General features: G+C 38.8%; 2 long non-coding RNA genes across 12 annotated transcripts in view; one reads left to right on the top strand and one right to left on the bottom strand.

The window, feature by feature from the left end:
• The window catches only part of LOC124906243 (uncharacterized), a 207,146-nt gene that overhangs the window by 36,810 nt on the left and 153,259 nt on the right, over positions 1–17,077 (top strand). The gene's annotated exons all lie outside the window — the stretch shown is intronic.
• Positions 13,197–17,077, bottom strand: part of LINC02030 (long intergenic non-protein coding RNA 2030) — a 74,093-nt gene continuing 70,212 nt past the window's right edge. For all 11 annotated transcript variants that reach the window (NR_183740.1, NR_183746.1, NR_183747.1 and 8 more), the window contains one exon: positions 13,197–14,890. This is a non-coding gene — a long non-coding RNA (long intergenic non-protein coding RNA 2030). The remainder of the gene's footprint in view (positions 14,891–17,077) is intronic.

Below are 17,077 nucleotides of genomic sequence, written 5' to 3'. Positions count from 1 at the left end.
ACCCCTCCCGCAGAAGGTGGTTGCCTATGAAATGTGGAGAGCCGAAGGGATGTGGGTGGGGGTAGGCGAATAACATGTGTGCAAACTTAATATATCTTTTCCTCACCTTAAGTTGGACCCAGACAGTTAAATTACAATTACAGCCCCATCTGGAGGGGGAAAAAATACAGTACTCGAGTGCTCCAAGCTTTTCAGCCATGGGTACTTTGTCAGGTAAAATAAACACACGTCCCGTTTCCAGCCTGGGGTCAAATTCAACAAAAGCCATGAAAGATGGGACACTCATCAAGAACCAGATTGCGAAATGGCCAGAATGACAGCAACAACAGGAAGAAGGAATAAAATGGTTGGTTACTTCTCTCAAGCCAGATGGCTCAGGAAGGCTGCTCAGGGCCTACCTTAAAGGGATATAAATCCTTGGCAAAACTCACGGTGGATTGGTGCCACTGTCGCGGAAGGGATGTGCAAAAGGAAGGAGCCTGACCTTGGCCAGAGAAATTGGTCCCAATAAGGGTGATCACCCAAGCTAGGCCATGGCCATCCCTTGAGTCTGTTAGTTGGATCATCTTCTCTGGTCACACCTGAGGCTTTAAAACTAGAATGACTTGGTGACCCTGCTCTCTGCCCTGCGAAAGAAGCTAGACTTTTTGTCTAACAGAATGAAGGTGATGCAGGGAGAAGCAGAGAGGACAGAGACAGAGGGGATGGTCCTAAGTGTATTTGAGTCCCTGGTTGCAGTCATCCTTGAGGACAATTCATGCTCCTATTTCCATCATTTGGGAAAGTAGACCAGTAAATTCCAGCCTTTTTGACTAATCCAGCTCTTGAGTTTGTCACTCAGAAACTCAGAGGGCTCAGTCTGGGTCATCAGTTATCAAATGTAATTTATGAGTGGATTACTTTTGTTTGGTCTGATAGTATTAAAGCTAGTGATAATAATTGCTAACATGGAGGATTTAGTATGTGCCAAGCTCTAGCTGAATAATGTTAGATGTATATCATGTTGTTTAATCCTCACAACCCCAGGAGGTAGGAGCAGTTATGAGGAATTATGAGGAAATTGAGGCACGGAAAGGTTAAGAGACTTGACCAAGGTCTCACTGGTAATAAGGAGGAAGTATACTTCAAACTCAGGCTCCAGAGCCTATTCTTTTAATCAATCTATACATCCCACATGTCAATCATGGTGGTGAAAGTAGCATCCTCCCATTCACTTATAATTCCGGTAAGGACTCTTGAGTGAGAAAAGAGAGGAGTTAAAGTGTCTGGAAATTAGGCCGAAGTCCATAAACAATTTTATCTATGCCATTGCCAAAACTGAATGACAGTTACTGATCTCCTATCCATATTTAAAGTGATTTTCAAATTATTGTGACCTTTAATTTCTCCATAACATTTTCCTTTTCTTTCTTTGAAAACTGTTTCTTAGAGGAAGATGTTATTATATATGTGAGCACTGAATGACATATGTATTGCAAGAAGATAGATCGGTAGATAGATAGATAACATTGATAACCATTTAACCATAGGATCTTCAGTGGATCTGTTGCCAATTCTCAGACATGAGGGGGCCAGGTTTCAGAACTCCCTGGAGAGCTCATTGAAGTACAGAGGGCTGTGATTTTGTTTCTCATTTATGGGTCTGAACTGGAATTAGAGAACTTGAATTTCTAACAAGTTCCCAGGTGAAGTTCATGCTGCTGGTTTGGGCACCACACTTTGAGAATCATTGCTCTGCAGCCACTGCAGCTGACTGGTTTGTAAGCACTTATGAAACACCCAGTCAATTCAATTAATAAATCAGCCATGTGGATTGCTTAGGTATCTTGCTGATAGTTTAGCCCCACTGGTGTGTGTTCCAAAATGGCCAGATCAGGTGGTTGTATTTCAGGGGTACTGAGATTCATAAAATGACACATGAAGACATTTGAAAATGTTTATGAGAACAAAATATTAAACCACTATCTTTTTATGTAATAGTTTATTATATAAAATTAACTTGAAACAGTGAATTGCTCTTTGTTGTTTAATAAAATCACAGCTCTTCATCACTATGATTTGGTGCCAAGTGGTTACAAAAGTGTTATGTACAAGTATGTCCTAATATGTGATTGTGTGCCTGCTTTCATTCACCACTCATCATAAGAAGACAATAAGAAATGATCTCAATGTTATCATCAGTTATGTCAGCCGATATTTGTCATGCTAATGAGTTGTGGTAAGCTTGGCTGATGTTATTGGACTTTGTTCATTTTAATTATTTTTTAAATGAACCAAAAGATGAGTTTGTCCCCAAAAGAGGAATTATAATTAATTTTGTTGTAGGGACACAAATATATTCTTTGGGGGCATCAGGTGAACTATAGACACGTACTTTCTACCTCAAGATTGCAGTTTGAAAAATTTCCAACCCCGGAATGTTTTCTAGGGCCATCAAAGTGTCTCAAATATACTTAAAAGTTAGTCTGACTGAACAAAATAGACTGAAGCAAAGGCATATTTGATTTTTAAAACAAATTCTTTTATATATATGTATGTGTATACATATACATATATATGCACATACATATATATGTGTGTATGCACATACATATATATGTGTATGTATATTTATGAGTGAGATTGGCCTGTAGTTTTCTTTTCTTGTAAGGGCTTTATCATGTTTTGGTGTCAGGGTTATGCTGACCTCATAAAATGAGTTTAAAAACATTTTCTTTCTCTAAACTCCGAAAGAATTTATTTAAGTTTGCTATTGTTCCTTCTTAAATGTTTGGAAGATTTCACTCATGAAACAATCTGGGCCTGAATTTTCCTTTGTGGAAAGGTTTTTAACTAAATATTCCATTTTTTAACAGATTTCTTATTTCTGTTTTAGTTTTAATAAATTATGTTTTACAAGGGATTTACCTATTTCATCCAAGCTGTTGAATTTATTGGCAAAGTTTTTTGAAATAGCCCGTTATAATCATTTTAATGTCTATATGATCTATAGTGATGTGGCCTTTTAAAATCTGATATTGGTAACTTATGTTCTCTCTTTTTCTCTCTCTTTCTCTCCCTCTCCCCATCTCTTTCTCTCCCTCTCCCCATCTCTCTCTCTCCCTGTCTCTCTTAATCAGGTTTGCTAGGAATTTATCAACTTACACATCTTTCCAAAGAATCAACTCTTGGCTTTGTTAGATTTCCCTATTAAATGTCTGTTTTCTCCTTGCTTTCTGCTCAAATTTACATCATTTATTTCCTTTGAGTTTAATGTGTTAATCTGTTTATAGTTTATTGAAATGGAAACTTAGAGCATTTATTTTCAGTCTTTTCTAATATATGCATTGAAAGCTACAAGTTTGCCTCTAACTACTGCTTGAGCTTCATCCCACACATTTTGATATATTTTCACTATTATTCCGTTCAAAATATTTTCTAATTTCCATTTTAATTAACTCTTTGATTAACATCTTAATTAACTCTTTAATTAACTTAATTAACCTATGAGTATGACTCATAGGTGAGGTAGAAGTGTGTTGCTTAATTTCCAAGCATTTGGATATTTTCTAGTTATCTTTTTATTATTGATTTCTAGTTTAATTCCACTGAGGTGAAAAAAAATTCTCCTTTGAAAGTTGTTGAGACTTCTTTGCTCCAGTATATGGTCTATTTTGGTAAATGTTCCATATGCTCTTTAAAAAGAATGTATATTCAATAATTTGGAAGTGTAGAATTCTAGGTATATTCACTCAGTCAAGTTGGTAAGAATTTATTTCTTGAGAGAAGAAAATGAAGTATTTCCCGAAGTTTAAGTGATAAGAGAACCACATTTACTGAGTGCTTACTCCTGGAATTTTTGACATTGAACTCCTCAGCAGCAAATCATGGATATTTGTTTCACTTCCATCTGACTGCTGAACATCTCTATCTAGATGTGTAATTAGCATCTCAAATGAGCACACCCCAAAAAGAATTCTTGATTTTCCCTTCAAATCTGCTGCTTTCTTGTCTTCCCATCTCAGTAAATGTACCTCAGGTGCTCATTAGGCTGAAAACATTAAATGTGCCTCAAACTTCTCTTTCCTTCACTCTCACATCTACTCCACTAGGAGGTCTGTTCCTTCTACTTTAAAATAGGTCCTAATCTGACTGCTTCTTACAGCTCCTGCTTACTACTGCCTTGGTCTAAGCTTCTGCCATTTCTTTTAGGGTCACTATTGTAGTAACTTCCTAATGGGTCGATCTGATTTTTTTCCTCTTCTCCCCTCTGCATCTCCAGAACCTGCTATCTCCTACGATAGAGCAGAGTTGTAATTCTCCCATAACAATTAAACTCTTTTCTAAAAAGAAAATAGGATCAAATCACTCTTTTACAAGAAAACAAATAAACAAATAAAATTCAAAGGCTTCTCATCGCACTTAGAATCGACTAGAAAACTCTTATATAGCCTTTGAGGCCCTAGGTGATCTGGCCCTGCCTCTCTGCAATCTCGTTTCTGACTACTCTTCACCTTGCCCTCTGCTCCAGCTGTGCTGGCCCTCTTGCAAGGCTTGGAAAATGTCTAGCTCACTCTTGCCTCAGAGCCCTGGCACTTGCTGTTGCCTCTGCCTGGAATGCTTTTCTCCCAGATCTTTACATGATTCACTTTTTCATTCCATCTGTGTCTTGACTCATACTTCACATCCTCAGAGAAGTGATCCCTGACCACCCTACCTCCCCTGAGCTATCACGTGTTCACCTATCCTGAGTATGCATTCATTTCTTCATAACACTTGTCAACACCACAAATTATTTATAAATTTATCTGTTTATTTGTGTTGATCTGTATTATGAACTAGAATATACGCATCATGAGGTCAGCAGCAATGTTGTCTGTTTTACTGCTGAATCCCAACCATGTAAACCAATGTCTGACACATGGCACTTAATAAATGTCTGTTGGTTGGATAGATGTGTAGATGAATGCATGGAGGATAAACGTTTAGCTGAAAAAATAATTGTTTTACATCCATTTGTTTGTACTAATTAATCTCATCCTCCCCTAGATAGCACTAGGTTGTTCTAGTTAGAAAGTTTGTTCATAAGGCTAAACTCTTAAAATCATCTGTGGATTATAACATCAGTAATTCAGGTTGGAGTTGTCATCAATTAGTTTGAGTTGGTTTTGGCTACCAATGCAGAAGTCCCACAGTTTTAAGAGACTATGTGCACAGACTTCATTTTTGAAATAGAAGTTTAAACAATATATATACTCCTAAAAAGAGCTCTGTAACACATATACCCAATCTATGAGTAGACTGGACTGTGGGCATTAGTGCCGATGAGTTAAGATTTATAGACAGTGATTCTGGGGAGGGTGGAGAAAAATTATCCTTAGGTACTTTTCTTTTCTTTTGGGACGAAGTATTTTCCCTTTCTGATTTTCTGTATAATATTCTATATATTACTACCTCTCCACCGCCAGTGGGGTAGGACAGGCCTTTATAAACATTATCATCAATAATTTTCCCCACAACTCTACAGACCAGACGTGACCACTTTCATGTTTCAAATGTGAAAAATACACAGAGAGACAATATGTGCAAGATGACACGCTGGGCCATTGCAGAACCAAGGCTTTGCCTGTTACGTCTCTCTCCTCAAAGTTGGCACTTTTTCGGCTGGAACTCATATTGTCTCCATTTTTATGTTGACTATGGAAAATAATTCAACAAATAATATTTAGTAGTTGCTATAGGTTCAATGTTTATGCAACCCCTGCCCCTAATTCATTTGTGAAAACCTGTTTCCCCATGTGATGGTATTTAGAGGTGGGAACTTTGCAAGGTGATTAGATCACAAGAGTGGAGCCCTCATGAATAGAATTAGTGCCCTTATAAAAGGGACCTAGAGAGGTCCCTTGCCCCTTGCCTTGTGAGGACACGGTGAGAAGGCTGTCATCTATGAACCAGCCAGCAGGCCCTCTGCAGACACAGTCTCTCGATTGCTAGATCTTGGACTTCCCAGTCTTGAGAACTGTGAGAAAAAAAATTTCTGTTGTTTTTAAGCCACACAGTTTATGGTATTTTTGGTATAGCAGCCTGAACAGACTAAGATAGGAATTAAGGATAAAGACTTCTTGCAAATATATACTTGGGTCTCACGTAGTAACTTCTCCATAGATTTTTATTATGACCAGGCAGGATTGGATATTTCAGAATTTGCTGTAATTATATGTCCTTAAACCTACTTTTCTGTGTACCTCACTAAATTTCTGACAGCCTAGTGGAAGAAACAACATGTTTCCAATTATTTTCAGCACTCAAGTATAGTTGTGCAACAAATGTCCTTGTCTGATTGTTTTTACGTCATCATGTGATCCTACTTCAGACCAAAAAGTCCTTTGGGGTCTTGACAGATGTTAGTCACCTCTATTATCACTTAGTGTCTGCTTTTATTTAATTCAAGTATTGGTTCAAATGGTCCCTCTCCAGAGAAACCTTCTTGAATATCATCACTGCCTTCCCCTCTGTCTCCTCACCTTAATTTATTTTTCTTTACAGCTCTTAGCACTAACTGATCTTCTATTATACTTTTGTTTTTAACCATGTTTCTCTTCCATGAGAATAAAATAATCTCCAGGAGGGCAGGAGCTTGGTTTTATTCACCATTATCTACCCAGGACCCAGGACAGTACCTAGCACATAGGAAGGCCATGAGTGACTATTTATCAAACGAATGATGTTCCCCTAACCCCGCAAAAACACAGACTGTACTGACTCCTCTGTGGAAGTGGAAATTGGACATCCCTGACTTCAGGACATTGCACAATGATATGGAATCACTTCATGCAATAACTTTATTCTATGATCATTAATTAACATTAGCTGGTCAAGCTGAGGATGAGGTCTTCTAATCTGACTTGCGTTCTAAGCATAAATTCTCAGCAATGTCAGGATAGGTTAGGCCAGTAGTTCTCAACTTCGTTTTTACCAATTGCTATTGTTCAATAGAGGTAGACCTCAGAAATGCTGAAGGAATCACCACCTTTAAACTGTTATAATGGGGGTCTTCTCCAAATGGAGAGGATGAAATGATGTTGTGGATTGGACTTTTCTTAACTACTGAGCATTCTTCTTGCCCATAATTTCCTTCTGAAATGTGTGCTGCTGTCTACCTAGGTCACTAACAGATTTAGTAGTGGCAGATGAATTTTTTGGAAGAACTCTAGAATGACCAGGTGTATTCATTTGGACCACATGTTGCCTCTGAGGATGCTTGTGCAGGCTCCATCCGGGAAGGCAGCAGTAAGATGAAGTCACTGTCCTCATAGAGATGATTTCATTCTTATAGGACAGAAAGACAGTTTTTAAAAAGTACAATATTTAGGGCTGAGTTGTTAAATGGCATACCCACGACAGCCATAGTTTTAGCCAGAAAAATTGTTCCTTGGTTATCTGCTGGGAAAAAAATTGCTATCAGTGTTCCGTGGGGTTCTACAGAGAGAACATAACTTCCAGATGTTCCATCTCTGAATGTGTTTGGGAGCCCTCAGGTTAGAAAATGGTCCTCTCAGCCCTGGGCTCTGATCTTTTTGGGATCTATGATGTTGACCCCACTATGGGTATTTCAGCTACAAATTCCACCAATCCCCTGTTGCATATATTTGTTTTCTCAGCCTGTAATAAATAGCTTCATATACAGAGATTCCATCTGAACACAAACAGTCCCAGCCTTTAGAAGACTCTCCAGCAAAACTCTCAGAGCACGTGTGTGTTTCAGGGGTAATCATCTCCAGGCAACACTGGTCGGTCCTAGAAGTTGTCATTGCTGTCATCTTCCTGTGAAATTCTTCATCCCTTTGAATGCTCATAAATGGGCATTTTCCAGAGAGTACATCATTTTGAATTGAATTTCAATAACTCCTCCAGTGGCCGCCTGCCAGCCTGAAAATGTCCATGCTTGTGAAACGGTGAGTCTGTTTGAAAGCAGGCTGGCTTTGGTTTTAGCAACAGACTAGGCTAAGTCCAGAAAATATTTTGTGTTATTTATTTTTATAGCATGAATGAGCAAAATATTCAAGAAAGTGCTGATGGGGCTCTAGTTCTCAAACTCCTGCTTAGAAAATAGAAATTTAGATTCTCTGTTCGATCCCTCCAAGCCCCATCCTGTTCTCTCTTTTTTCCAATGGGGGCTGATCTGTGCCAGCTTTGGCAGAAGCAGGGATGTGTTGAAATGCTGTAAATTACAGTTAATGTGATATGATTCTGTTTATCCTTGTCCAACACTGTTGAACCTACCAATTTCTCCTTCTTGGCTTCCCATGAATTAAAGCAACCAGAGAATAGCCAGTTGGAAGACTGAATCATTTTCTTTTTCAGTCAGAGTAAAAAACAGGCACAAATGATGAATGCTGGCCCTCAAGAAAAGGGTTTTTTCCTTGACAAGAAATTCAGAAAAAGCCCAAGACAGTGCCCTATTTACTTTTGAAGAAAAAGCACTGTGTCCTGGGATGTAAGGAAATGAAAGCATGATTCAGTTTCCTACACAAGATTCTCACCAATAAAATTTAAATGGAAAATGTCGATGATTTCATAACTATGAGCTGAATACTAAATAGACAGCTGCCGTCCTTAAATTTCTAATTCAAAACTAGAATGATCAGCCCAAGAAGATAGTCACTGATAGGTCTCACTGTTTTATACCAGGCACATTAAATAACACTGTGTCTTCAGAGGCAAACCTCTTAGATGCAAGTGACCAGACATTGTGACTGTCACAATGCTAAATGACCAGTGTGACTAAATTGTTCAAATGTCAATCACCAGGCCTGTTGGGAAGATGTGGCATTTGTCAGATTTTTATTTGAAGTCAGAGAATTGACAGACCTTTGTTTTCATGTATATTGAGGTTTTGAGAAGGGCATGTATTAGGTTTGTGGAGTTATTAGGGATGAGGTAAAAAACCATATATATATCGTCAGAACAAATAAGCATCAATAACTGGGAAAAAATTCCAAATTGAGCATTTTCAGATCTGGTTTGCTTTGAATATTGCACAATCCAATGAAGGTTTGATTAAATGAACAAGAGGGAATAGCAATGTCTTTAAAGAGCAGTGGAGAGCAATGTAAGGGAAAATATATTCTATCCCATAGCTAATACAAAATATGTAAAGTGTGGTTAGAGAAATGTGATATGAACTTAAGAGAGGTATATGATGAGCACTTCAGGGTTTTCTAAATAGAGACAGATGATGTCTTGTGTGTGTGAAGAGAGAAATGACCCCTCCACAAACTCCCCTCTACCCTGCACGTGATTCTTCTGTAGTAGGCCTGATAACCCAAATCCCTTACATTTGCCCAATGCATTGCATATTTATTTAAAAGAGAATGTACAATTGCAAATATCAATCCAAGTTAATACTTCCCTCCCAACTAGCCCATGAGTTAGGTGCTTATATTTTCCCCTTCTCACAGATGGGGTAACAGAAGCATGTAGAGGTTAAATAACTTCATTCGTTCATTAGTTACTTACTGATTTCACCACACACTTATTGAACCCTTACTAAGCATAGACACTGTACCAGGTGGTGGAGAAATGAGAAGAGTGTGACTTAGTCCCCACCTTCAATGCATCTTTGGAATGGTAGAGAAGACAGACTGCTAAAGGAGAACTCACAATAGAAAATGGTAATTAGAGTGATGAAACTATGTAGAAAAATCCCTGCCTCTGGCATTGCTTTTCCATGTGTTGTTCTGTTTCAGGCCAGGCCGTGTGTTACCTCATTCATCCCAACACCAACCCTATGGGGTATTCATTCTTTCAGCTAATGCCCACTGAGTGTCAGTCCTGGGAAAATAGCACCCACTGTTGAGAGATTAGATTCCAGTTAAGGAGACAGATATTTATCAAGTATATCACAAAAATACCAAAGAGAGGTACAACTATAGCGAGTGCAACCAAAAAAATGTGACAAAAGCTAGAGGAGTGCACGGTGGGGGGATTTGACTTCATCAGGGAAGCCAGTGGAAGCCTCTCTGCGTATGGAATCATAGGAAGGTCTAGGTGAGATAGGGAAACTATTCCAGCAAGAGAGGGCAGGATGGTGCATGGAGAATTGGAAAGCAAGTCGGGGGAGTACAGTGTGACGTGTGCAAGGAGAGGTCAGTTCCAGAAGGTCCTTTCTTACAAGCCATGTGGGGAGGGATGGAGGGTATCCTCACCACGGTGCTGAGGAGCCACTGAGTGTGTAGCAGCTGACGGGTCATGGCACTGATTGGTATTTATTCTTCTTTTTTCTTTTTTTTTTCTTTTTTTGAGACGGAGTCTCGCTCTGTCACCAGGCTGGAGTGCAGTGGCGTGATCTCGGCTCACTGCAACCTCCACCTCCTGGGTTCAAGTGATTTCTCGTTCTTCAGCCTCCCGAGTAGCTGGGATTACAGGTGCACACCACCACGCCTAGCTAATTTTTGTATTTTTAGTAGAGATGGGATTTCACCATGTTGGCCAGGATGGTCTCGATCTCCTGACCTCATGATCCACCTGCTTCGGCCTCCCAAAGTGCTGGGATTACAGACGTGAGCCACTGCACCCAGCCTTCTTTATTTTTTTTTAAATAAATTTTTTTGTGTATATTTGAGGTTCACAATATAATATGGGATATGTATTGATAGTAAAATGGTTACTACAGTGAAATAAACAAACATATATCATCTCACATGGCTGCTTTTTTTGTGAAAAGAGCAGCTAAAATCTACTTAACAAAAATCCATAATCACTATAATTTTATTAACTATAGTCTTCATGTTGTACATTCAATATCTAGACTCACTGATCCTCTATATCTGCTTCTTTGTATTCTGTGATCTACCTCTCCTCATTTCCTCTCTCCTGCCCCCAACCTCAGTAACCACTGTCTTATTCTCTATACATTTGACTTTTTTCTCTTTTTTTCTTATGATTCCACATATATGTGAGATCATGATGCAATATTTTTCTTTCAGTGCCAGCATCTTTCACTTGCCATAATCTCCTCCAGGTACATCTATGTGTTGCAAACAGCAGAATTTCCTCTTTTTTTTTTTTTTTTTTTTTTTTTTGATACAGAGTCTCGCTGTCGTCTCCCAAGCTGGAGCGCAGTGGCGCAATCTTGGCTCACTGCAACCTCTGCCTCCAAGGTTCAAGCGATTCTCCTGCCTCAGCCTCTCAAGTAGCTGGGATTACAGGTGCCCACCACTATGCCCAGCTAATTTTTTGTATTCTTTTTTAGTAGTTATGGAGTTTCACTTTGTTGGCCAGGGTGGTCTCAAACTCCTGACCTTGTGATCTGCCTGCCTCGGCCTCTCAAAGTGCTGGGATTACAGGCATGAGCCACCATGCCTGGCCTCTCTTGTGTTTTTAATAATAGCCATACTAACGTGTGAGGTGATATCTCATGGTGGTCTTCATTTGCATTTTTCCAATGATTAATGATGTTGAGAGTGTCTTTTCATATACCTGTTGATTGCTTTTATGTCTTCTTCGGAAAGGTATCCATCAGGACCTTTTCCTATTTTTTAATCAGGTTTATTTTTTCTGCTATTGAGTTGTAAGAGTTCTGTACAAATTTTGGATATTATTAAATATCCAAATGTATTAAATGAATCAATTTGGGATCCATTTGCACCAATCATTAATAACTCCTTATCAGATATGAATTGTGAAAATATTTTTTCCCTAGATGTAGGTTGCCTTTTTACTTTGTTGATTGTTTTCTTTGCTGTGCAGAGCTTTTTAGTTTGATATAGTCCCGTTTATTTATTTTTGCTTTGGTAGCCTGGGCTTTTGGTGCAATATCAAAAAAAGTATTGCCAGGGCCAAGGAGCTTTTCCCCTATATTCTCTTCTAAGAGTTTTATGGTTTCAAGTCTTACATTTAGGTCTTTAATCCATTTTGAGTTGGTTTATGTATATGGTGTAATATAAGGGTTTAATTCCATTCCTTTGCAATGGAAATCCAGTTTTTCCAGCAGCATTTATTGAAGAGACTATCATTTCCCCATTGTGTCCTCTTAGTGTCCTGGTCAAAAATTAGTTGGCCATATATGTTTGGATTTATTTCTGTGCTCTCTATTCTGATCCACTGGTCTATATATCTGTTTTTATGATATTATCATGCTGTTTTGCTTTCTATAGCTTTGTGATATAAATCAGGAAATGTGATCCTTCCAATTTTGTTCTTCTTCAGTACTTCTTTAGCTATTTGTTTTTTTATGATTCTATATGGATTTTAAGATTTTTTTCTATTTCTATGAAGAATGCCATTGGAATTTTGATAGGGATTGTGTTGAATCTGTATATTGTTTTGGGTACTATGGATATTTAAACAATATTAATTTTTCCAATCCATAAATACAGAATATCTTTCTATTTATTTGTGTTGTCCTCAACTTTTTAAATCAAGGTTTTATAGTTTTCAGTGCCAAATCTTTCACCTTCTTGGTTAAATCTATTTCCACTTTTTTATGCTATCTTAAATAAGATTTAAAAAAATTTATTCTTAGCATTGCTGTTATTTGTGTATAAAATGCTACTAATTTTTGTATGCCAATTTTGTATCCTGTAACTTTACTGAATTTAGTTATCAGTTCTCACAGTTTTTTTGTAAACTCTTTGGGTTTTCTACATATAGGATTATGCCATCTGCAAATAGAGACCATTTTTCTTCTTCCTTTCTAATTTAGATGCTTTTATTTCTTCCTCCTGTCTGGTTACTCTTGCTAATACTTCTAGTAATATGTTGAATAGAAGTGGCAAGAGTGAGCATCCCTTCCTTGTGCTGGATCTTTGTGGAAAAGATTTCAGTTTTTCCCTGTTGATTATGATGTTAGCTATGGGTTTTTCATAAATGTCTTTTGTTATATTGAGGAACTTTCCTTCTATACCTAACCCATTAAGAGTTTTCAATCAAGAAATGATGGGCATTTCTTAAGATGACTTTGGCTGTGTTGTAGAGAATCCATTAGAATGAGCCCAAAGGTGGAATTTGGGAGACCAGACAGATTTTCAAAAGAGAGGTACTGGAGTGGTGGCTGTGGAGCTGTCCAGAAGGGCAAAGATCCAAGAGATATTTTGTAGGTTACATTGACAGGTTTACATGTGTTGGATATGGGACCAGTTCAAGAGTGACCCATTTTACAGATGGAAAATCAATGGACAGAGAGAGAGGCTGATTAACTCCCAAGGACACAAAACTGGTAAGAGAATCAATCTTTATTAGAGCAGTTGAAGAACTGTTGAGCAAGCACTTTTACTCTCTCTTTTGTGAGCATGAAGAAGAGGAAACAAAGAACCTTTGCTGAGGAAAATGGAACAAAATCTAAGAAGGAATAAATGTTCAATCATGGCTTTGCCAAGTGTGTAGAGGAAAGGGAAAGGGTCATTTTGGACAGAGGTAATTGCATATGAGCAAGCAAGAAAAGGAGGCTTTGAGAGGTGACAGAAACTCTATATCTTGATTGTGGTAGTAGTTACAGAAGTTCATGCATTCATTCAAATTCACTAAACTGCACTTAAAGTGGGTCCTTGTTAAAGTGCATATCTTGTGCCCAAATTTTGGTCTCTAATACCTTTGTCCACTTGAAAGAACCACAGTTTTTCAGAGAAATGGCTGATTCCAGGGCTGGAGCAGGAAGTAAAGAAGTGAGTTTTAAAAGGAAAGAAAAAGAAAGAGAAAGAAAGAAAAAGTGGGTATGTCACAAGGAAATAATAGCCAACTTGGAGGGGATCCCACTGGCCAAACTGGGAAAATTTGAGCACTAATATAATTAAAGATAGTAATAAATTATAGGCCATTGAGAAGAACAGGAAATCGTGAGTCCATACTAATAAAAACAATAAACATTTGGGAGAAAGGGGAGAGTCTTATCCACAAGAAGGCTGAATGTAGCTGGTAAATGTGGAAGAAGTGCTAGAAATGAAAATCTTCATTTTACATCTACCATAATAAAGTTTTGTTCAGGCAAGAATCATCAAAGGCTGCTAAATCCAGGGGGATATTTTAATGAGGTGCAGGATATTTGAATGGTCTCAAAGAATCTTCCCATAAATTGCTTATTAACTGCAAGAGAAATAGTAGTAAATACACAGGAAGAAATGGGATAGCACTTTGGGTAATCAACAGCAGCATCACCAATGGCCATTGTGTGCCCCCCAGATATCATTCTATCATTCTAGTTGTTCAATCCAATTGAAATCCAATTAAAATAGGATAAAAGCTAAAAATATCAAGAGAGAAGTCTCAAAAGAAAGAGGAAAATAAATGGCCAAGGGATTCGTTAAAAAGATGCTCACCCTGATAAGTGATCAGGAAAATGCAATCAAAGCAATGCAGTACTGATTTTTCTCAAACTGATATTTTTTCAATGATCAATGACACTTCATTTGGCAAGAACATGGAGAGAAGTAGGAACTTTCATACTGTTTGCATGATTGTCACTTGATAATATTTTTGGAGGACAATTTAGTGTTATTTTTCCACATTAAATATCCTTACCCTTAGACTGAACAATCTCAGGTCTGGGAATTGATCCCAAAATACATCTCTGATTGTAGGCACAAGGGCAGTTATTCCAGCTGATTGTAATAGAAAGCAATTAACAGCAGTATCAGTTATCTATTGCTGCATATCAAACCACTGCAAATGTAGCAGCTTAAAACAACACACACTTAGTATCTTTTTCTGTGGATTGAGCATCTGGGCAGAGCTTAGCTGGGTCCTCTGCTTAATGGTCTCTCACAGCACATGAAGATGTTGGCCAGGGCTGGGGACTCATCTGAGACTCGAATGGGGAAGGATCCACTTCCAAACTCATGGTTATTGGCAGAATTCAGTTACTTGTGGGCTTTTGGCCAGAGACTGCCCTTAGTTCCTTGCCACATGGGCCCTTCTGTAAACCAGCAAGAGAAGAGTCTGTTAGCAAGAGGCAAGTTACAATGTCTTGTACTCTAGTCACAGTAGTGACATCTTATCACTTTTGCTCCATTCTATTGATTAGAAGAAAGTCATGAGGCCAGCCCACTCTCAAGGGCAAGGGATTTCACAGGGGCATGAATACCAGGAGGTAGAGATCATGGGGAGGGGGTCATCTTAGAGCTTGCCCCCATGACAACCCAAATGTCCATTCAGAAGGACAAGGTTAAATAAATTATTATGGTAGCACCACACCATGGGAAACACTTCGGTCATTCATGAAGAATAACGTCAATTTAAGTGTGCACAGACTTGGCAAAATTTTCCAAACCTATTTCTCCCCAAGTCCCACTCCCCAAACCTATTGTTAAGTGAATAAAATAAGCAAAGCTAGTTTGCAGACAATGCACATATTGTGACACCATTTGTGTGGAAACACAATATTTTCCAAATGAAACATGTTTATGTGTACATATATATGCATTTATTACAAAGGAAAAAGCTTGGGAGGAGGTATATCTACTCTATTGATCATGGTTACCACTGGAAGCTGTGGGTTCAGGGTGGACGGAGGCATAATGGTCAACATTCTCATTTTATTCCTCATACTTATTGATTGTTTGGCTTTTGTTTTTTATTTTTTTACAGTGGGAGTATATTTATGTATTGTAGATTTTTTTTCTAAAATGAACTAAAACTGGGAAGCTGGGGCTTTCATCCAACAGTGTTAATTTTTGGAAGTGTAACATGTTATCCCTAAGTGTGTCCTGATTGTGCCTTTTTATTGTGCAGATTTTAACAGTTTGCTCGGTTTTCCATCCCAGCTTTATCTCAGATGTTTCCAACTACACTTGCAACAATGAGACCAATAAGGGCTTTGTTGTCCTAGACCCAAGAGCTGTTCTGGGAGTACCGGAGGAGGGCTGGGCTGTAGTGAGCTGGCAGCTGGATCCTATCGAGCACCCTTTTTTCCCAGACACAAAAGAAGAACCACAGTAGCCACCCAGAGTGGAGTCTGGTGCTGCGGGGCACTTCTGGGAGGTCACAGAAAGGGATGTGGGACAAAGAGTCCCTTTTTGTGGTGTGTCTTCTTGTTAGTTCCATGACCGACTTTGTCATCAGAAGATGAGCCCAGGCTCCCATGCTCCCATGATGGAGGTGCAGTTCAGGAGCAACCGCTCACTGGTGACCTTGGGTGGGCTGCCTCATCCCTCTGTGCCCCAGTGGCCTCCTCTGTAAAATGGTGATGTCCGTCCTATCACTCTTATGGGTTTGCTGTGAGGATTAAATGTGCTGATACAACTGAAGCACTTGGCTTAGTGCCCAGAACATATTAAGCACTCTCAGGAAGGTGAAGATCTGCTGCCATGCAGATGTTGTCTATTGTTACTAACAAAATTAGCATTTACTAAATCCTTACCGGTTCCTCTCCCCAGCTCTGTGATAACTGCTTTACATGCGTGGTCTCATTGAATCCACCCTAACTTCCGGTGTTAATTTTCCCATTTTACAGACAGGAACTCTGAGGCTCAGAGAAAGTCAGTTAGCCTCCCAAGTTCATAAGCTGGGAAGTGATGGTGCCAAGGTTTGAACTTGGGTCTGTCTGCAAAGCTTCTGCTCTTCACAATCATGCTTTATTGCTTTGTGGGCCTTAACACTCACATTATTTTGCTCTCATGATAATGAGAAAGCTTCAGGCACCAGAGGACTTGGGAACAGAATAGTGTACTTAGGAGAGGACTAGCTGGGATTTGCTGTGTAAAGATATGACAGAAACATGAGGATAAATGGTTGAGTGAAGAGTCAGTGTGGGAAACGGTCCAGAACTTTCTCAAAAACCAGTCCATCAAGGAGATCAAAATTAAACAAAGATAAATTGGATTTGACTTCCACAGTAATTCGCCTGATATGTGTATGTTTGTATACAATCTTTGTACTTAACAGAGACCACTCATTCTTGTCACACACATGGAATTTACAAAAATTGACCAAAACTTCCCTTTTCTATGGTGGCGTACTTAAAGGCACTGCCACAGAACTACAAGACTTCAGGGAGAATCATTCAGAAAGAGCTTTCTAGAATGCCTGTTATGGCCCATATGAGCTTCTAGATATGTTATATGGTTTGGCAGTGTCCCCACCCAAATTTCATCTTGAATTGTAG

Source organism: Homo sapiens, chromosome 3 (assembly GCF_000001405.40).
Source record: "Homo sapiens chromosome 3, GRCh38.p14 Primary Assembly".
Classification (NCBI taxonomy): Eukaryota; Metazoa; Chordata; class Mammalia; order Primates; family Hominidae; genus Homo; species Homo sapiens.
Note: the sequence above shows the minus strand (reverse complement) of the source record. Positions and strands in the feature narration are given on the sequence as shown.